Source organism: Homo sapiens, chromosome 19 (genome assembly GCF_000001405.40).
Source record: "Homo sapiens chromosome 19, GRCh38.p14 Primary Assembly".
Taxonomy (NCBI): domain Eukaryota; kingdom Metazoa; phylum Chordata; class Mammalia; order Primates; family Hominidae; genus Homo; species Homo sapiens.
The window spans coordinates 48794379-48812932 of NC_000019.10; the positions used below are offsets into that span (position 1 = coordinate 48794379).

General features: G+C 55.1%; 1 protein-coding gene and 1 long non-coding RNA gene across 5 annotated transcripts, besides 11 other annotated features; one reads left to right on the forward strand and one right to left on the reverse strand.

The window, feature by feature from the left end:
• Window positions 686–16651, reverse strand: BCAT2 (branched chain amino acid transaminase 2). 3 transcript variants are annotated; one of them, NM_001284325.2, is made up of 12 exons: window positions 16606–16651; window positions 13378–13858; window positions 12622–12696; window positions 12139–12339; window positions 5809–5919; window positions 5603–5722; window positions 5297–5460; window positions 2813–2955; window positions 2559–2644; window positions 2200–2340; window positions 2050–2124; window positions 686–1086 (listed from the first exon to the last, which is right to left on the reverse strand). In NM_001284325.2, the coding sequence occupies exons 4-12, from the start codon at window positions 12316–12318 to the stop codon at window positions 1048–1050; spliced, it is 1059 nt and encodes a 352-aa protein (NP_001271254.1). In that variant the 5' UTR covers window positions 12319–12339; window positions 12622–12696; window positions 13378–13858; window positions 16606–16651; the 3' UTR covers window positions 686–1047. The 3 variants fall into 3 exon arrangements, with proteins under 3 accessions (NP_001271254.1, NP_001181.2, NP_001158245.1); NM_001190.4 differs by lacking the exon at window positions 13378–13858; NM_001164773.2 differs by lacking the exons at window positions 12139–12339; window positions 12622–12696; window positions 13378–13858.
• Window positions 855–924: an enhancer, noted in NCBI's record as "active region_14906". NCBI's record gives its function as "activates an Ori minimal core promoter by ATAC-STARR-seq in GM12878 lymphoblastoid cells {active_cell/tissue: GM12878}" and the evidence as "EXISTENCE:reporter gene assay evidence [ECO:0000049][PMID:35858748]".
• Window positions 965–1144: an enhancer, noted in NCBI's record as "active region_14907". NCBI's record gives its function as "activates an Ori minimal core promoter by ATAC-STARR-seq in GM12878 lymphoblastoid cells {active_cell/tissue: GM12878}" and the evidence as "EXISTENCE:reporter gene assay evidence [ECO:0000049][PMID:35858748]".
• Window positions 1742–2377: an enhancer, noted in NCBI's record as "H3K27ac hESC enhancer chr19:49299377-49300012 (GRCh37/hg19 assembly coordinates)". NCBI's record gives its function as "activates a minimal SCP1, AML or CMV promoter by ChIP-STARR-seq in naive H9 embryonic stem cells {active_cell/tissue: H9 hESC(naive)}" and the evidence as "EXISTENCE:reporter gene assay evidence [ECO:0000049][PMID:30033119]".
• Window positions 4190–4798: an enhancer, noted in NCBI's record as "H3K27ac-H3K4me1 hESC enhancer chr19:49301825-49302433 (GRCh37/hg19 assembly coordinates)". NCBI's record gives its function as "activates a minimal SCP1, AML or CMV promoter by ChIP-STARR-seq in primed H9 embryonic stem cells {active_cell/tissue: H9 hESC(primed)}" and the evidence as "EXISTENCE:reporter gene assay evidence [ECO:0000049][PMID:30033119]".
• Window positions 4799–5407: an enhancer, noted in NCBI's record as "H3K27ac-H3K4me1 hESC enhancer chr19:49302434-49303042 (GRCh37/hg19 assembly coordinates)". NCBI's record gives its function as "activates a minimal SCP1, AML or CMV promoter by ChIP-STARR-seq in primed H9 embryonic stem cells {active_cell/tissue: H9 hESC(primed)}" and the evidence as "EXISTENCE:reporter gene assay evidence [ECO:0000049][PMID:30033119]".
• Window positions 12114–12785: an enhancer, noted in NCBI's record as "H3K27ac-H3K4me1 hESC enhancer chr19:49309749-49310420 (GRCh37/hg19 assembly coordinates)". NCBI's record gives its function as "activates a minimal SCP1, AML or CMV promoter by ChIP-STARR-seq in naive H9 embryonic stem cells {active_cell/tissue: H9 hESC(naive)}" and the evidence as "EXISTENCE:reporter gene assay evidence [ECO:0000049][PMID:30033119]".
• On the forward strand, window positions 12991–16459 carry LOC105372432 (uncharacterized). 2 transcript variants are annotated; one of them, XR_936017.4, is made up of 3 exons: window positions 12991–13021; window positions 13591–13721; window positions 15966–16459. It is a non-coding gene; the product is annotated as an uncharacterized LOC105372432 (long non-coding RNA). The 2 variants fall into 2 exon arrangements; XR_007067287.1 differs by having other exon boundaries at window positions 12991–13721.
• Window positions 16231–16300: an enhancer, noted in NCBI's record as "active region_14908". NCBI's record gives its function as "activates an Ori minimal core promoter by ATAC-STARR-seq in GM12878 lymphoblastoid cells {active_cell/tissue: GM12878}" and the evidence as "EXISTENCE:reporter gene assay evidence [ECO:0000049][PMID:35858748]".
• Window positions 16574–16868: an enhancer, noted in NCBI's record as "tiled region #11839; HepG2 Activating non-DNase unmatched - State 18:Pol2, and K562 Activating DNase matched - State 1:Tss". NCBI's record gives its function as "activates a minimal TATA promoter and a strong SV40 promoter by Sharpr-MPRA in HepG2 and K562 cells {active_cell/tissue: HepG2 | K562}" and the evidence as "EXISTENCE:reporter gene assay evidence [ECO:0000049][PMID:27701403]".
• Window positions 16621–16840: a silencer, noted in NCBI's record as "silent region_10902". NCBI's record gives its function as "represses an Ori minimal core promoter by ATAC-STARR-seq in GM12878 lymphoblastoid cells {active_cell/tissue: GM12878}" and the evidence as "EXISTENCE:reporter gene assay evidence [ECO:0000049][PMID:35858748]".
• Window positions 17730–18270: a transcriptional cis regulatory region, noted in NCBI's record as "intergenic|chr19:49315365-49315905 region (GRCh37/hg19 assembly coordinates) targeted for CRISPR interference". NCBI's record gives its function as "positively regulates BCAT2 gene expression in K562 cells {active_cell/tissue: K562}" and the evidence as "EXISTENCE:mutant phenotype evidence [ECO:0000015][PMID:31784727]".
• Window positions 17917–18226: a silencer, noted in NCBI's record as "silent region_10903". NCBI's record gives its function as "represses an Ori minimal core promoter by ATAC-STARR-seq in GM12878 lymphoblastoid cells {active_cell/tissue: GM12878}" and the evidence as "EXISTENCE:reporter gene assay evidence [ECO:0000049][PMID:35858748]".

Here is an 18554-nt window from a genome sequence, read left to right on the forward strand (position 1 = left end):
TAGCTGGGACTATACTCACATGCCACCTCACCTGGTTAATTTTCTGTATTTTCTGTACAGATGGGATCTCACTGTGTTGCCCAGCCTGGTCTCAAGCAATCCTCCCGCCTCAGCCTCCCACAGTGCTGGAATTGCAGGTGGGAGTCACCATACCCAGTCTAAACTCTTCCACGTTTAATCCCTCCAGCAGGTGAGAGTATCGTGCCTCACTCCACACCCACTAGGGTCCCGTGACTACAGTCCTGGCTGAGGGCACTGGGCCACGTCTGGGTGTAGAAAAGACCCTTTGGGCCAGGTAGCAGACTGCAGGCTGGAACAAGGGTGCCAGTAGAAGACAGCAGCTGAGCTGAGGCCAGGGCCTAGGGGACAAAGAGGCGGGGGAACGGACAGCAGAGTCGGGGGCAGGAGGAACAGGGATCGGGGCCTCGTGGGCTTTGAGAGAAAAGGATGCAGCACCTAGGGGTCCGGCCTAGAGACTGGGAGACGGGAAAGTAGGGGAGGAGCTGGTTGGTGGGGGGCAGATAGTAAGTTCAGTGCCGGAGACATGAAATGCTCCCCCAGGTTGGAGAAACCATCAGAACACTGGGGGCTCGGATGACTGAGTCCTTCAGAATAAAATGGGCTGAGGAAGCAGGATTCCTGGGTTAAAGCCCCAGAGTCACGTCACTGAAGAAGCCCGACAATGTGTGTTCTTTGGCATTTTATTTCAAAATTGCAGCAAAGACAGAGAAAAAAAAATCAACGGCAGCACCAGGGGTCTGGCCTGAGAACGGAGAGATCCGGAATCGGGGCCAAGGTGTATCCTTGACCGCACGACAAGGAGTAATGGGCGGACCTGAACCCGCGACGAGGGGCTGGGGGCCAAGATGCCTGGGTCGGCCCTTACGGCTTTGGGAGTGTCGCAACCACATGGGGGCGCCAGAGACCCAGACGCCGCCCGCTGGCCTTTTATTTCGTATTGCACTTCAGGTGAGTCATTGGTAGGGAGGCGAGTGCTGGCGTGACGAGATGCTACGGGTCGGTGGATCTGGAGCACAGCCTGCAGCTTCACACCGGGAACATCCACTCGTGGGCTCTGATTCCGTACTGCGGAACAACGGAGGCAGTGCGTGAGGTGGAAGCTGCACTACAACTCCCAGTAGGCCCTGGGGTGTTCCAGGCCGAGTGCCTACGGAGCTGTGCCCCAGCGGCTCACGGGAAATGTAGTCCACTTCCCAGAGGGCCCCAACAATGATGGGAACGGGGAATCAAGGCTAAGGCGGCGCAGAGGCTTCCGGGAGATGTAGTTCTGAAGACAGGAATTATGGCCAGGCCTCTAAGGCTCTTGGAAAAAGTCACTTTCAGCTCAGAAAGCCCAGATAGTCAGAGGATGTGTAGTTCTAGGTCCTGATGCACAAAAGTTTACAGAAATGTAGCTCTAGGTCTGGGAAAGGAGCCCAGAGATTCTTGGGAAAGAGATCTTGGCCCAGAAGATGGGAATACCCCCAGAGATTTATGGGATTAAACAGTCTGGTGCCAGAGAGGGGCCAAGGTCCAGAGGCTCATGGGAGGAAGCTTTCTCCGGCCAAAGGGATAGCCCAGGGCTCCAGGGAATCTTGGGAGGCCAACCTCTGAGATGGCCAGAGGGCTGGCTAAGGTCTCAGTGATTCATGGAAAGGGCCTTTCTCCCACCAGGGCACCCGGGGCAGCAGAGGATCACAGGGAGGGAGTTTCTCCCACCAGGGCACCCAGGGGCCTCAGAGGCCCACGGAGAGGGGGTTTCTCCTACCAGGGCACCCAGGAGCCGCAGAGGATCACAGGAAGGGGTTTCCAAAGCTGAAGACATATCCAGGGCTCCGGGAGCTCCCAGGAAAGGGTGATTTAGCCCCAAGGGGTTTTCCAGGCCACAGAGCAGCACAGAAAGCCCACTCTCCAGGGCCTCAATAAGAAAGGCCATTATCTGTTCCTGGTACTACTGAAGGAGGCTGGCTGTTAGTCCAGGGGCTCATGGGACACCAACTTCTCCAGGGAACAAGCTCCCAGCCCATTCCCCAGCTCCCTGCAGCTCACCTGGATCTCCTTCAGCTCCTTCTGGAAGCGGAGGATCAGCTCAGGCCCATTTTCCATGGTGGGAATGTGGAGGTTCTGGGACAGAAGGTGCGGTGAGGACCAAGCCCCTCCCCTCCTTCCCTCCCACCCACAATGGCAGCCCCGCCTCACCCTGTCTTTGTACAGGATTCGGTGCACTGGGCAGACCTGGCAAGCGGTGCCCGAGCCAAAGACTTCCCGCACGCGGCCCTCCTCCAGGGCCCGCAGCAACTGCTTCATGGTGATCGTGCGCTCCACCACCCGGAACTCACCCTGCAGGGCAGTTGGCAGAGACACGTGTCCCCAGAGGGTTGCCCTGCTGCAGACCTCCACCTCTCCCTCCCTGAGGATAGTGAGAAAGACAGAGGCCCAACGGGAGAGACAGACCCAGGAGAAGGGGCAGAGACATGCCAGTGTGCCCCAGTCCCAGCCCTCTGATGCCCTGGCCCCTGGCACATGGCGCCCATCACCAGAAGATGCCATGTCCTCACCCAGGTCTGAGCCATGTCCAGTAGACTCTGTCTGACCACTCCAGGCAGGATAACACCATTCAGCGGGGGCGTCACCAGCTCCAGCACTAGGGCAGGTGTAAGGGGTGGAAGATGTTACCTCTCACCCCCTAGCACCGCCGTCTTAAGAGCCACCCCCTTCCCCCATCCCAGAATCCCTGGGGCCTGTAACCTGCCAGGAATGATGGTGCCACCCACTTCCACCAGGGTTCGGGCTGGGTCATGGGTGGGCTTACCCCCATCTTCGTGGGTCCAGTAGACAAAGATGTTCATGGTTCCCACCTCGGTGAGCTGGTGGTCGGGCCCATACAGCCAGAGGACCTGTTCACAGCCCCGCTTGAGTGCCTCCTGTTGCACTAACACGGTGGGCCCATAATTCCTGGTGGAGGGCAGTCTGGTTGGGTGGGGCAAGGGAGCCCCATCCTTCCCCAGCCCAGCCCCAGAGGAGGCTCATCCTACTCTCTCCCGTCTCCCTGCTCACAGCTCTCACAGGGCTCCCCAGTTCCCCTGAGATGGAATCCTTGACTTTTCATTTGGCATCAGGACCCTAAATGGTTATGTCCCCTCTCTCCTGTCTCTTCCCACTTTTCTTTCTTTTCTTTTCTTTTTTTTTTAAGACGGAGTCTCGCTCTGTCACCCAGGCTGGAGTGCAGTGGTGCGATCTTGGCTCACTGCAACCTCCGCCTCCCAGGTTCAAGAGATTCTCCTGCCTCAGCCTCTCTTGACCTGGTGATCTGCCCGCCTCAGCCTCCCAAAGTGCTGGGATTACAGGCGTGAGCCACCGCGCCCAGCCCTCACCCATTTCATACTGACCAAATCCTCAGCTGTCATTCAAAACCATTTCTTTTTTTCTTTTTTTCTTTTTTTTTTTTTTGAGACAGAGTCTTGCTCTGTCGCCCAGGCTGAGGCTAGAGTGCAGTGGTGCGATCTCAGCTCACTGCAACCTCCGCCTCTCGGGTCCAAGCGATTCTCGTGCCTCAGCCTCCTGAGTAACTGGAGTAACTGGGGCATGCAGCACCATGTCCGGCTAATTTATATTCACATTTATATTTATATGCCCGCCTCAGCCCCCCAAAGTGCTGGGATTACAAGAGTGAGCCACAGCGCCCGGCCTTACTTTTTATATTTTTAGTAGAGACGGGGTTTCACCATGTTGGCCAGGCTGGTCTCAAACTCCTGACCTCAAGTGATCCGCCTACCTCGGCCTCCCAAAGTGCTGGGATTACAAGCGTGAGCTACCGCGCCTGGCTCCAAAACCGTTTCTGTTGTCACCTCCTCGAGAGGTGTTTCCAGACCTCCAGGCTGGGTGCTGGACCTTCCCTGGACTCCCCCAGTGAACTGGGCTACCTGGATGACTTTCTGAGTCTCTCTCCCAGAGATAGCCTCTCCCCTCAGCTGCTAACAAGCCTCCCATGGCTCCCCAGTGCCCCAGGACAAGACCCTAGCCTCCTTCCGGCATTCCAGGCCTGCCTGGGTCTAATGAATACTTGCTAAGCATTTTTCAAAACCCAAACTTATTTTTGTAACCTGAACATCTTCTGTGATCCTATTCCTTCTGTCCCTGTACACATGGTTCCCAGGACTGGAAACAGTTTGCTGACTTTTGTACCCAGGAAACCCCCTCCTCCCTCCTCGTCAGACCTAGTTGAAGGGTCGCCTCCTCTGCGAAACCTTTCTTTTTTTTTTTTGAGATGGAGTTTCGCTCTGTCGCCCAGGCTGGAGTGCAGTGGCGCGATCTCGGCTCACTGCAAGCTCTGTCTCCTGGGTTCTCGCCATTGTCCTGCCTCAGCCTCCTGAGTAGCTGCGACTACAGGCGCCCGCCACCAAGCCCGGCTAATTTTTTTTTTTTTTTTTTGTATTTTTAGTAGAGATGGGGTTTCACTGTGTTAATCAGGATGGTCTCGATCTCCTGACCTCGTGATCTGCCCGCCTCAGCCTCCCAAAGTGCTGGGATTACAGGCGTGAGCCACCGCCTCTGGCCTCTGTGAAGGCTTTCACAATGCCCTGGGTCACCTCACCAGAGAACATGCAGCTCCGAATACTGGGGCTCCCACCAGCCTGGGAGACCCAGGAGAGCAGGGCTCGGGGCTGACTCATCTGTGTCCCCAGCTTCTGCCAGCACAGGGCCTGGCCCTCAGGAGACCTCACAGGATGTGGCTGAAAGGACCTGAATGCACCCCCAGCTGGGGCCACATTCCTGTCCCAACACGCCAGTGCCCACCCTCTGCCTTGGTTGCCCAGGAGACCCAGCTGTCTCCTTCCTGCCCTGCTGAGCTGAGGCCACTGGGAGACAGATTTACACAGAAAGTCCACACGGGGGTGAGGGGCTTTGGAGGCTCAAACGACTGTGGGAGCTGGGTATGGGGAGCGCAGCCCAGCCTGGGGGATCAGGGGAGGCTTCTGGGGCGAGAAGCCAATGAGCTGAGTGTAAGCTTCACTCCTGGAGGCTTCCAGGGACCAGTCCTGGTTTCCCCACTGACCTCCACCCAATGCCTTCCCATCTGTGAGCCTTTTTGTCCATCTGAAAAATAATCCCCTCCTCCTTCCTTCCATGGTTTGTTTTCAGGGACCAGGGAGGTCACTTAGCACTGAGCCCTGCACGGTGCTGATGATGTCACCTTCATGTGACATCCAGAGGCATGGCCGAAAGCACGCACGCTGGTCCCTGTGTCTCCAACGCCCAGTGCGCCAGTCGTTCTGGGGATGGGGGTGCTACTTACCCACCTAACTTGTAGTTGCCGACCCCGCCCACCCAGGCCCGGATGAAGGCTGGGTCGGCCAGGAGGGAGACCGGGGTCACGGAGCCTCCAGGGAAGTAGGCACCCACTGGGCAGAGAATGACGAACAGGAGCGCGCGCGTGGGCTGGCTGACACCCAGCGAGGGCTGCGACGGGCAAAGGGACAGCGTCAGGAGTCCAGGCCCCCAGTCCCTTCCCGTCCCCAGGCCCAGGCCTCCAGGACCCCACCCCTGCCCTGCAGAATCCAACCCCCGCAGCCCAGCTTCCCAGCCCTGGAGTTGGGCCCACCTCGTTCCCAATGAGCACAGGCCGCACATAGAGGCTGGTGCCGGCGGCATCGGGGACCCAGTCCTTGTCCACTTCGATGAGCCGGCGGATGCACTCCAGCAACTCCAGCTTGTCGAAACTCTGGGTGGGATTCTGAATGAGTCAAGGGGCCCTTGCTGCCCCGGCCCCAGCCCTCCTCCCCACCCCGGTGGACCGGGACCCCTCACCGGCAGGCACAGGCGCATGGCTGAGCGCAGCATCCGGTCCATGTTGAGCCAGGGGCGGAAGAGGCGCACCTGCTGGTCTTTGCCTTTGAACGCCTTCATGCCCTCAAACAGCTGCGGGGACACGCGGGTGGGGAGGCTCAGAGACTTCTCCAGACAGTCATGAGAGACACCAAGACAGACAGAGACAGATACACAAAGACACAGACAACTGAAAGATGGAGGCCAAGAGGAGAGCACCGGGGAGATTTAGCAGCTGGGTCAGAGAGATGGAGAAAAAGAGAGACAGATATAGACAGGGAGACAAACAGGTAGAGACACACGGAGACTCTAGAAAGCAAAGGACACGACCGGGCTCAGTGGCTCACTGTAATCCCAGCACTTTGGGAGGCCGAGGCAGGAGGATCACTTGAGTGTAGGAGTTCGTGACCAGCCCAGGCATTATAGCAAGACCCCATCTCTACCAAAAAATACGAAAATTAGCCAGACGTGGTAGCACGTGACTGGAGTCCCAGGTATTTGGAAGGTGGTGGGAGGATCACTTGAGCCTGGGAGTTTGAGACTGCAGTGAGCCACGATCATGCCACTGCACTCCAGCCTGGGACCTAGTTTTTTTTTTCTGGAGACTCTGTCCCTGATCACTGCCCCATGGTTCCAAGTTTGCTTGTTCAGCATCTGCTCCACTGCAGAGTGGAAGAGCCTGGAAGGCAGGGATTACCCTTGACACGTTTACCAGACAGCCTCTCCTGCAGTCCCATGCACCAGGGTAGGCAGCGCTTGGCACAGAGTGTTTTTTTGTTTTGTTTTGTTTTGTTTTGTTTTGAGACAGGGTCTCACTCTGTCACCCAGGCTGGAGTGCAGTGGCGTGATCTCTGCTGATTGCAACCTCCGCCTCCCAGGTCCAAGTGATTCTTGTGCCTCGGCCTCCTGGGTAGCTGGGATTACAGGCGCCCACCACCACGCCCAGCTAATTTTTGTATTTTTAGTTGATCCACCCGCCTCAGCCTCCCAAAGTGCTAGGATTACAGGGGTGAGCCACTGCACCCAGCCAGACTTTTTTTTTTTTTCCCATAGTGGGTTTTTGATGAATGAATAGATAAATGAATGGAAGACAAGCAAAACTAGCTACAATATTTTGGGGGGATAAAAACCACCACCACAAAAATGAGGGGCAAGATGGGGCAGGGGCAGGGAGTAGCCATATCAGGTAGTAAAACATTATAAATCTACAATACTTAAAACAGAGTGACACTGCTATATGAGTGGACAGACTGAATAATGGAATAGATAACCAAATATCCATCTAGAGAAAAACTACGTTGAATCTCTATTTCACACCTCACACCAGAAAAAATTCCAGGTGCATTAAAAGTCTAAACAAAATATATATATATATATTACACCATAAAAGCTATAGAAGGAAACAAAAATAACTGTTTTATATCTTGGATTGGGAATTTTATTTTTTATTTTATTTGAGATGGAGTCTCACTCTGTTGCCCAGGCTGAAGTGCTCTATCTTGGCTCACTGCAACCTCTACCTCCCAGGTTCAAGCAATTCTTTTGCCTCAACCTCCCAAGTAGCTGGGATTACAGGTGCCTACAACCACGCCCGGCTAATTTTTGTGTTTTTGGTAGAGACGGGGTTTCACCACGTTGGCCAGGCTGGTCTTGAACTCCTGACCTCAGGTGATGCGCCCACCTCGGCCTCCCAAAGTGCTGGGATTACAGGCGTGAGCCACCACGACTGGACTTTTTTTTTTTTTCCAATTTCTTGTACAGATAGGGTCTTACTATGTTGCCCAGGCTGGTCTTGAACTCCTGAGCTCAAGCAATCCCCCTGCCTCTTCTTCCCAGCCCCAGATGAATTTTTTAAAACCTAACCTGATAGAAAAATCAGCCTAGCAAATGGACAGTTCACACAAAAGGAAATACAGGTGGCCCTTAAGCTCGTGAGAAGATAGTCAATTTCATTAATCACTAGGGAGAAAAATGCAAATTAAAATTAGTTTGAGATACCTTTAAAACCACATGGGAGATTGGAAAAGATCTAAAACTTGGACAAGGGTTGTCCAAGGTATGGAAACAGGCTCTGCTGGTGGGTGTGGAAACTGACACACCCTGTAGATGTAGATGTGGCGATACGTATCAAGATTACAAGCATACATATCCTTTGACCTACAGTTCCCGAAATTGAGCCTCTAGATACATTTGCACTTAAACAAGTGACTAAAGAAGGGACGTGTGTACTGGATTCCTTTTTTTTTTTTTTTTTTTTTTTTGAGATGGAGTCTCACTCTGCCACCCAGGCTGGAGTGCAGTGGCGCAATCTCGGCTCACTGCAACCTCCGCCTCCCGGGTTCAAGCAATTCTCCTGCCTCAGCCTCCCGAGTACCTGGGATTACAGGCACCCGCCACCACACCCAGCTAATTTTTGTATATTTAGTAGAGATGGGGTTTCACCATGTTGGCAAAGCTGGTCTTGAACTCCTGACCTCAGGTGACCCACCTGCCTCAGCCTCCCAAAGTGCTGGGATTGCAGGTGAGCCATCACAGCCGGCCCTGTACTAGATTCTTTATTGCAAAATTGTTTATAATAGACTGGAAACAACCTAAGTGTCCAACAGTAGGGGATTGCCTAAGGAGGTGCATTGTTAGGATGATACAGCATGAGGCTGCAAGAAAGATGGAAAAAGCTCTTTAAGCTTTAAGGTATAGAGAAGAATTTCCAGGCCCAGTATGATGGCTCATACCTGTAACCCCAGAACTGGGAGGCTAAGGTGGGAGAATTGCTTGAAGCCAGGAGTTCGAGACCAGCCTGGGCAACAAAGTGAGATCCTGTCTTTGCACAAGATTTAAAAATTAACTGGGCAAGGTGGTGTGTGCCTGTAGTCCTAGCCACTCGGGAGGCAGAGGCAGGAGGATCACTTGAGCCTAGGAGGCGGAGGTTGCAGTGAGCTGAGACCATGCCACTGCACTCCAGCCTGGGAAACAGAGCAAGACACCGTCTCAAAAACAAAACAAAACAAAACCCAGGTAAAAGAGCCCGGATACACCGGATATAGTGGCTCATGCCTGCAATCCCAGGACTTTGGGAGGCTGAGGCAGGAGGATCACTTGAGCTTAGAAATCTGAGATCACCCTGGGCAACATAACAAGACCCCATCCCTAAAAAAAAATAAAATAAAATAAAAATTAGCTGGGCATGGTGGTGCACACCTGCAGTCCCAGCTACTTGGAAGGCTGACGCAGGTGGATCGCTGGAGCCTGGGAGGTCAAGGCTGCAGTGAGCCAAGATCGTGCCACTGCACTCCAGCCTGGGCTACAGAGCAAGACCCTTTCTCAAAAAAAGAGTCATAACAACAACAACAAAAATGCAGGTGGCCAGGCTTGGTGACTCACGCCTGTAATCCCAGCACTTTGGGAGGCCGAAGCAGGTGGATCACTTGAGCTCAGGAGTTCAAAACCAGCCTGGGTAACATGGTGAAACCCCATCCCTATTATTTAAAGATAATAAATAAACAAATACAGGTAGACAAAGACAGAAAGCAGACTAATGGTTGTCATGGGCTGGGGTGAGGGACAATGGGTACTGATTAATAGGTATGGGGGATTAAACAGTTCTGAACCTTGATGGTGCTGATGGTTGCATAACATTGCCTGCCACTGAATTATGGGCTTTAAAATGGTTGGAGGCTGGGCGCCGTGGCTCACGCCAGTAATCCCAGCCCTTTGGGAGGATGAGGCGGTGGATCATCTGAGGTCGGGAGTTTGAGACCAGCCTGGCCAACGTGGTGAAACCGTGTCTCTACTAAATATACAAAAATTAGCCAATAGTGGTGCATGTCTATAATCCCAGCTACTCAGGAGGCTGAGGCAGGAGAATCACTTGAACCTGGGAGGCAGAGGTTGCAGTGAGCCAAGATTGTGCCACTGCACTCCAGCCTGGGCAACAAGAGTGAAACTCTATCTCATAAATAAATAAACAAACAAACAAACAAATAAAATGGTTGGAATCCCACATTTGATGCTGTGTGTTATTATGTATGCGTATTAGTACCACAATAATAAAAAATAAGGCCAGGCATGGTGGCTCACGCCTGCAATCCCAGCACTTTGGGAGGCTGAGGTGGGCAGATCACTTGAGGCCAGGAGTTCGAAAACAGCCTGGCCAACATGGTGAAACCCTGGCTTTACTAAAAATACAAAAATTAGCCGGGTGTGGTGGCGGGCGCCTGTAATCCCAGCTACTGGGGAGGCTGAGGCAGGAGAATCACTTGAACCCGGGAGGCGGAGGTTGCAGTGAGCGAGATTGTATCATTGCACTCCAACCTGGGGGACAGAGTGAGACTCTGTCTCTAAATAAATAAATAAGAAAAAATAAAATAAAAAATAATACACGTGGTCGGCCTGCAATCCACACATGCCCTGGAGTGTGGGTGACATAGGGACAGCATTGTCCTACTCCCTCATCCTCCCCCTTCCGCCCCCTGGACCCGCGGGATCACAGCAGTGCGTTCTGTCTGCCAGGGCCACAGGCTTCCTCTGCTCTCACTCAGCTGAAGAAAAAGTACTGGGTCCCCAGCCAGAGGACAACTGCTGTGCTGGGCTGAAGGGAGAAGTGTGTGGTGGTCTCCAAGTAACCAGCTTCCTGGGGGCTCAGCAGGCGGAATCCTGCCCATCACGCTTATGTACTGGCAGGAGTGTCTGGCTGTGATTGGAGGTGTGTGTGCTCTGTACAGAATCGACTGGTGTTGCTTAGATGTCCAGAGTGGGAGGGGAGAGGGGAAAAAACAAAACCTTAAAATTCTGGAAAGGAAGGAAGAAAGGAAAAAACAGAGGGAGGGAGGGAAAGGAAAGAAAGGAATGGAATAAAAGTCTTCATGCCACAGAACTGTGCCCTGGAGGACTAAAATCAGCCAACCTGCTAACCAGTTACTGGAGCTGTAAGATGCTCACTTAAATCTTGTCTCAACCAAAGTTTCCTTCTGAAGACCTTGCTTTCAGCCGCAGCTATAAGTCCTAAAACCAAATGCCTCCTGGATCTGTCTCCTAGAAACTTCACAGTATCTCAGGCTCACCAGGTGCCACAAAGCCGCTCCTCCTCCTGGGTCCCCATGTGGGGACAGGCCCAAGGTCTACCTGGTCACCAGCCCGGCTTCCTAGCCTGCAACTCTTGCCCTCCACATGGCCTGAGAGGGCTCTTACTATACCCAGACATGGCCCTGCCCCTCCCTTCCTCAGAGCCCTCAGTGGCTCCCAGCACCCTTGGACAAGGCCCCAGCCCCTCAGCTCCTCCATGGCCCTGACATTTTCAGCCTCCTTAACCATGCTCCAACACCGCAATTTCTCCCAAATGTACCAGGCTCTACTCCCGTTTGGGGTTTGGATTGGCTGTCTCCACTCCTGCCATCCCCCACCGACTGTCCCCCTTCCCGCCATCTCCAACTGTCCCCTCTCCCGCCATCCCCCCTGGGCTGTCTCCTCTCCTGCCATCCCTCCCCCGGCTGGCCCTCTCCCACCATCACTTCCCCGGCTGTCCCTCTCCCGCCATCCCTCCCCCGGCTGTCCCTCTCCTGCCATCCCTCCCCCGGCTGTCCGTCTCCCGCCATCCCTCCCCCGGCTGTCCGTCTCCCGCCATCCCTCCCCTGGCTGTCCCCTCTCCCACCATGCCTCCCCTGGCTGTCCCCTCTCCCGCCATCCCTCCCCTGGCTGTCCCCTCTCCCGCCATCCCTCCCCTGGCTGTCCCCTCTCCCGCCATCCCTCCCCTGGCTGTCCCCTCTCCCGCCATCCCTCCCCTGACTGTCCCCTCTCCCGCCATCCCTCCCCTGGCTGTCCCCTCTCCAGCCATCCCCCTGGCTGTGCCCTCCCCCACCATCTCCCCCCCCAATGGCTGTCCCCTCTCCCGCGATCATCCTGGCTGTCCCTCTCCCGCCAGCCCCCCGGCTGTCCCCTTTCCTACCATCACCCTGTCACCTCTCCCACCATCCCCCTCTAAGCTTCCCTCTATGCCAGAAGAAGCCATGCTTTCTTTCAAGTGAGGCTGGGGGTCTCTACTGGCCTCCACAGGGCCTCCATCAGAGCACAGATCATACTGAGTTATGCCCACAGCATGGGGTTTTCCAAGTGAAGGAACCGGGTCTGCTCATCTCGGGGAACCCAGCATCACCAAGCATGAGCCTGGAGCATGGAAGGCCTCAGAAAACAAATGGTGAATGCACAGAAAGGAGAAACACACAACAAACAAACCAAGAGAGGTACACCTGGCAAGAGACACAGCAAGGAGGAGGAGATGCAGACAGGGACAGGGAGAGAGGCCGGCCGCCATGCCACCTGCAGGGAGTAGTGGAGGCTGGAGGAGGCTGGGTGCAGCGTGAGGTTCTGGAAGGGCTGGATTCGGGGCTGGCCCCAGCCCTTGTCATTCCATTCCACCATCAGCATGTGGTCGGTAAATGTCTTCCCAAACACCAGGGGCTCGCCGGGGCCAGGCTTCTTATGAGGCTTCTGTGTCATTTCCAGCTGCAGGTCTGCAGCCTGAGGAAAGACAGGGGTATCCTAGAATCTGGCCACAACCTCCCAGCTGAAAAACTACAACTCCCATGAAGCCCTGGGCCTCAGACCCATAGAGAAGAAGGACCTGTCACCCTGGAGGATTCTGGGACATGCAGTTTCATCCCTTGTCTGCGGCCCAATGGCAGGCTGTTAAGCTACCACCACTCACTGCCATCTCTGGGCTGTGGACCTTTTGGAGATGCCCAAAACCAGCTGCCAGCCCCCTCCTCTCTCAGAGCCAAGCATCGAGTTCCCTCCTTTCACCTTGAAACTGGAGGAGGCATATCTTCTGGGACCACACAGAAGCCAAGGGACAGAGAGAAGCTTTCGTGCCCAGATCTGGGTGGAGAAAGAAGTGAGAGAGGGGGTGAGTGGGGCACAGCAGGGGCCCTGGCAGCTCGCTCGCCACCTCCTGCACTTGGAGGTCCCACTGGCCTGCCTGTTCTGTCCCAGTTTCAGTCCATTCTAGACGGGGCAGGTGGTCCTGAAGGAGGCCAAGTCCCCTCCCTGCCCTGACGAGGGCTCGCTGGAAAGAGCTGAGTCAGCTCCCGCCCCCTCCTCCATGCTGCGGCAAAGTCAAACGCAAGCGCCTCCCACCCCAGAGACCTTTGGTCGCAGCCTGGAGATCAGCTCAGACAAGAAAACAACCAGGGAAGGCACACAGGTAAGTGAAGGCCTCCGGGTACCCAAGTGCTGACAGGCCTTAGAAGACCAAGGACCGACAGGTCCTGCTCCCCCAGAGCTCAGGGGTGCAGACCCCAGGCCCGCCTCCCTCAGACCTAAGTAAGAGTCCAGACTCTAGCTGCCTCCTCCCTCAGACCCGAAGTCTGGGCCCCCAGCCCCTCCTCCCTCAGACCCTGGAGTCCAGGCCTCAGACCCTCCTCCCTTACATCCAGGAGTACAGGCCCCACCCCTCCTCCCTCAGACCCAGGAGTCCAGTTCCCCAGCCCCTCCTCCGCCAGACCCAGGAGTACAGGTGCTTATTCTCTGAAGGTATTCGATCAACTGGGCTCTGATTACCTGAAATACAAACCCATTTTGGCAGTGACTCCAATTCCCTTCAGCCCCTGGGGCTGAGGGGCAGCTACAGGGGCCTGGGGAGCCACTGCAGTCCTCACTGCATGAGGCTCAGGCGGGTCCTCCCAGAGGGGAGTAGGAAGAGCAGGTCTGGCTGTGTCCAGCAGGCTGGGCCCTCTCTGGTGACCTTTGACCTCACAAGGCCTCTTTCCCCAGCCCTGTGGGGAGGCGTTGGGGCGTGAGGTTGAGAGAGACAGAGTGGCCTGGCCTGGCCTGCCCTGTGAGCTGGGTGAGTTGGCACTGATTCTGGAAGATGGACGTGAATGGGCGTGGTCACTTGTCGCTAGGTGAGTTGCTGGGAGATGGGCCTGCAGCGTGGTCTTGCTGGTGTGAGGCTCCAGGGATTCCGGGGTGATCAGAGCGTGGGTCCCCAGATTGCCTTTGGGTGGCGACATCTAGACTGCTCAGCCTTGCAGCCATGCTTCTGCCCAGAGGGATAGGACACCCACAGTATGAGAGACACAAACACAGTGCGACAGCCAGCCTGTGGGCAGGAGAGCTGCCCTCAGAGCCAAGATGAAAAAAAGAGAGTAAGAGATGGAAGAGGAAGGATGAGAAAAAGAAACACAGAAAGGGGCGCACAAACAGAAAAAAAAAAAAACAAAAACAGAAATTGACGCCAAGAAACAAGAGATGCCAAAATAGATCTAATCATAGAAAGAGGCCACACGCAGTGGCTCGCGCCTGTAATCCCAGCACTGTGGGAGGCCGAGGCAGGAGGATAGCTTGAGGCCAGGTGTTCAAGACCAGCCTGGGCAACATAGGGAGACCCTGTCTCTACAGAAAATACAAGTTAGCTGGGTGTGGTGGCGGGCGCCTGTAGTCCCAGCAACTTGGGAAGCTGAGGCAGGAGAATTGCTTAAACCCAGGAGGCGGAGGTTGCAGTGAGCCGAGATGGTGCCACTGCACTCCAGCCTGGGCGACAGAGCAAGACTCTCTGTCTCAATTAAAAAGAAAAAAAACAAAGAAAGAAAGTAGGCAGCTGGCTCAGTAGCTCATGCCTGTAATCACAGCACTTTAGGAGACAGAGGTGGGAGGACTGCATGAGGCCAGGAGTTCAAGATCAGCCTGGGCAATATAGCAAGACCCTGTCTCTACAAACAATTTAAAAATTAGCCAGGTATGGTGGCACACACCTGTAATTCCAGTTACTCAGAAGGCTAAGGTGGGAGGATCACCTTGACCTACTGGTCAAGGCTGTGGTGAGCTACGATCACACTGCTACACTCCAGCATGAGTGATAGAGTGTCTCTCAAAAAAAAAAAAAAAAAAAAAAAAAAAAAAGACCAGCATGGTGGCTCATGCCTGTAATCTGAGGCAGGTGGATCGCTTGAGCCCATCTACTCGGGAGGCTGAGGCACCACAGTCACTTGAACCCATGAGGCGGAGGTTACAGTGAGCCGAGATCGTGCCACGGCACTCCAGCCTGAGCAACAGAGCAAGACTCGGTCAAAAAGAAAAGACGAGACAAAGAAATAAAGTACGTTTGGGGGTTCACAGGGCAGGTCTCTATAATGTGATAGAACCTCCATTATGTCCCATACAGCCCAGGAGTATCACCATCAAAGACCAGGAGTGTCACTGTCAAAGCCCAGCAGTGCCCTCCATACTCCAGGACTGTCCCCATATCACGGCCCCGGAGAGACCCCATCATACCGCAGTCTGCCCTTGTCACAGCCCACACATGACCCCATCACGTCTAGAACTGCCCCCTTTATAGCCCAGGACTCTCCCCCATCACAGACCAGGGCTGTTCTATGATGGCCCAAGATGCTCCACATCACAAGTCCAGATTGTGCCTGTAACTTATCAGAACTGGTCCCCAGCAGAGCCAAGTACTGTCCCAAACAGCTCAGGAATGTCCCCTATCCAAAGCCCAGCACTTTTCCCCATTATAACCAGCATTGTCTCTGCCAAATATCAGGGCTTATTTCCTATTCACCAGGTCTGAAATTAAAAAAAAAAAAAAAATCCCATTGTTGTCTTTTTCAATCCCCAGGACTATCCCTATGTTGCTGTCTAGGCCAGTACCTTCCAGACTGTCCCTACCATGGTCCAGCACTGTCCTCTCCACACCCCGGGACTGTCCCCATCACAGCTGAGGACTCAGCCCAATTATCTCCATTACAGGATATCTCTATCTTCATCAGAGCCTAGGAATGTCCCATCATGAGTTCAGGGCCATTCTATGACACCAGAACTGTGCCATGATGAGACGGTCCACATCAGTCCCAAGTGGACCTGTCAAAGCCCAGTACTGCCCCACCACAGTCCAGGAGTGTCACCACTAAAGCCCAGATTGCCCACATACCCCAGGTATCCCAGGACTATCCCTATCAGTCACTAAGAGCCGAAAAAAGTGAAATTCTGCCCTGACATTCATCAGCTAGGATAAGAGACTCAAATAAAGTCAGGTGTAAAGTTAACAGACAGTTCTCCCAAGGTTACACCGCAGCTGTGAAGGCTTGTAATGACCCCTTTCTTTGGCTGTTTCCTTCCTCACTGAGAAACCTTGTTCTCTGAAATCATAGACTCTGGGAAACGCTGCTGCTGTTTGACATCGCACAGTCAGAAGGGATCGTCTCAGCCAGCCTGCAGCATCTGTCACTTTGACCATGAGACGCTGCCTCGATTTCCAATCCAGGTGCAAAGCTTCAGATAGGAGTTTGGGAAGCACAGCAATCCCCATCTCTTATTTTTTTCAACTTTCATTCCAAGAAAATAGGACCTTGAGTCCAATTCCCAGAGCTGAGACTTGAGGTCCAACTCTGCCTTCACCTGCACCCGGCCCTGGAGGTCTGGGCCCCTTTATTCCAGCTCCCGCACAGGCTGATGCCCCACCGCACCCCAGGGCTCCGCTCCCCAAATCACAACCTCCCCACCCCCACGCCTCCCTCATTACAGGGTCCTCCACCATGTTTCCCTTTTTTTTTTTTTTTTTACCTCCCCGCCAATTACTTGCCCCACCTCATCCGCGTCTACCTGCTCCCCCTCACCCCATTAAAGCCTCGTGCTCCTTTCCAAAGGGCGCCATCCTCCTCCGCGCCCTGCAGCGGAACCCCAGGGCGGGAGGAGCGGCGCCGAGTCGGACCGGCTGCAGGCCAGTGGTCTTCCCGGAAGTGCGCCTCCCCCGGTTATTTCCCAGACCCCGGCGCGGGGCTGCGAACCCACCTGCCCCAGAGCGGCTGCGGCCATGATCCGTGCGGCGCGTAACTGTGCCCGCCCGGGGCGCGGCTCCGAAGAGAGACGTTCCGGCCACGCCCCGCTCACGCCTCCTTCTGGGGGAAGGCGGCCGACCAGCGCCCCAGGCCGTCCCAGCTCCAGGGCGTCGGCAGGGAGCCGGACACTGCTGCGGGGCGCAGGCGCTGGTGGGAGGGCAGGACTTGAAATACGGTCCCTGCCAGGCGAAGTGGCTCAGGTCTGTAATCTTAGCACTTTGGGAGGCCGAAGCGGGCGGATTACCTGAGGTCAGGAGTTAGAGACCAGCCTGGTCCAACATGATGAAACCCCGTCTCTACTAAAAATACAAAAAATTAGCCGGGCGTGGTGGCGGGCGCCTGTAATCTTAGCTACTCGGAAAGCTGAGGCAGGAGAATTGCTTGAATCGGGGAGGCAGAGGTTGCAGTGAGCCGAGATGATGCCACTGCACTCCAGCCTGGGCGACAGAGTGAGACTCCGTCTCAAAAAAAAAAAAAAAAAAAAGTCCTGGCTTGGTGGCTCACACCTGTAATCCCAGCACTTTGGGGGCCAAGGCGGGTGGATCACCTGAGGCCAGGAGTTCAAGACCAGCCTGGCCGACATGGGGAAACCCCGTCTCTACTAAAAATACAAAAATTAAGGCCAGGCACGGTGGCTTACGCCTGTAATCCCAGCACTTTGGGAGGCCGAGGTGGGCGGATCACAAGGTCAGGAGTTCAAGACCCGCCTGACCAACATGGTGAAACCCCGTCTCTACTAAAGATACAAAAATTAGCCGGGTGTGGTGGTGTGCGCCTGTAATCCCAGCTACTAGGGAGGCTGAGGCAGGAGAATCATTTGAACCCTGGAGGCGGACGTTGCGGTGAGCCGAGATCGCGCCACTGCATTTCCAGCCTGGGTGACAGGGTGAGACTCCGTCTCAAAATAAATAAATAAATAAAAATAAATACATAAAAATACAAAAATTAGTCGAGCGTGGTGCCGGGGGCCTGTAATCCCAGCTATTCGGGAGGCTGAGGCAGGAGAATCGCTTGAACCCGGGAGGCGGAGGTTGCAGTGAGCCGACATTGCACCACAGCACTCCAGCCTGGGCGACAGAGTGAGACTCCGTCTCAAATTAAAAAAAAAAAAAAAAAATCGTATCCCTCGGCCATCGTGTCTCGGCAATCCTACCCTGGGACACTCTGTCTCCAAATTCTACCCCCACAGTGCCCCCAAGTCCTGTCCCCGGGTCACTATCCTGCCACCCCTAACAGCCACAGGCCCAAACAGCCAAACCGCGGGACCCTTCCCTCACAGGGCGTCGCCCTGTTTTTCTGCGCTCCGCCCCAGTCCTCCTGCCCCACCCGCCAGCCCCGGGCTGTAGGGTCGGGGCCCACTGACAGCTCCCGCCCCCGCCGCGGCCAATCAGCGGTTGGTGCACACGCCCCCCCGGCCACAGCCAATCCGCAGCAGCCCTGCAGCTCCACCCCTCACCTGGGGGACGCCAGCGCACCCGGGCCCTGCCCCCCCCCTGGGTCCAGCTGGGGAGTCTGCGTCCCCCAGTGCCCTGCGGACCAAAACCCAGGAGTTTCAGCCCCTCCTCCCTCTGATCCAGATGTCTCAACCCCCTACTTTCTCTTCCCTTTGGACTTTTCTTGCCAGCCACCTTCCTATTCTACAGGCAGTGAGAGGAAAACTCCTTTTCCCTGAGGGCCAAGAGTAAGAGGGCCTTCTGCGTCTCCCCCTCCATTACCTCCTAATTAGCGCTTAATTTACTCTCCCCTGCGGGCCTTTAGTTAGCGCGCTGGTGAAGCCAAACCGCTCTACCCTTCCCAGGAGCCCCTGGCGACAGCGACAGGGCTAGCAACATCAGGCACCTGCTTGCTGCAAGGCCTGGGGTTGGGGGGCGGGGGGAGCTGCAGTCCTTCAGGGTCGAGGCA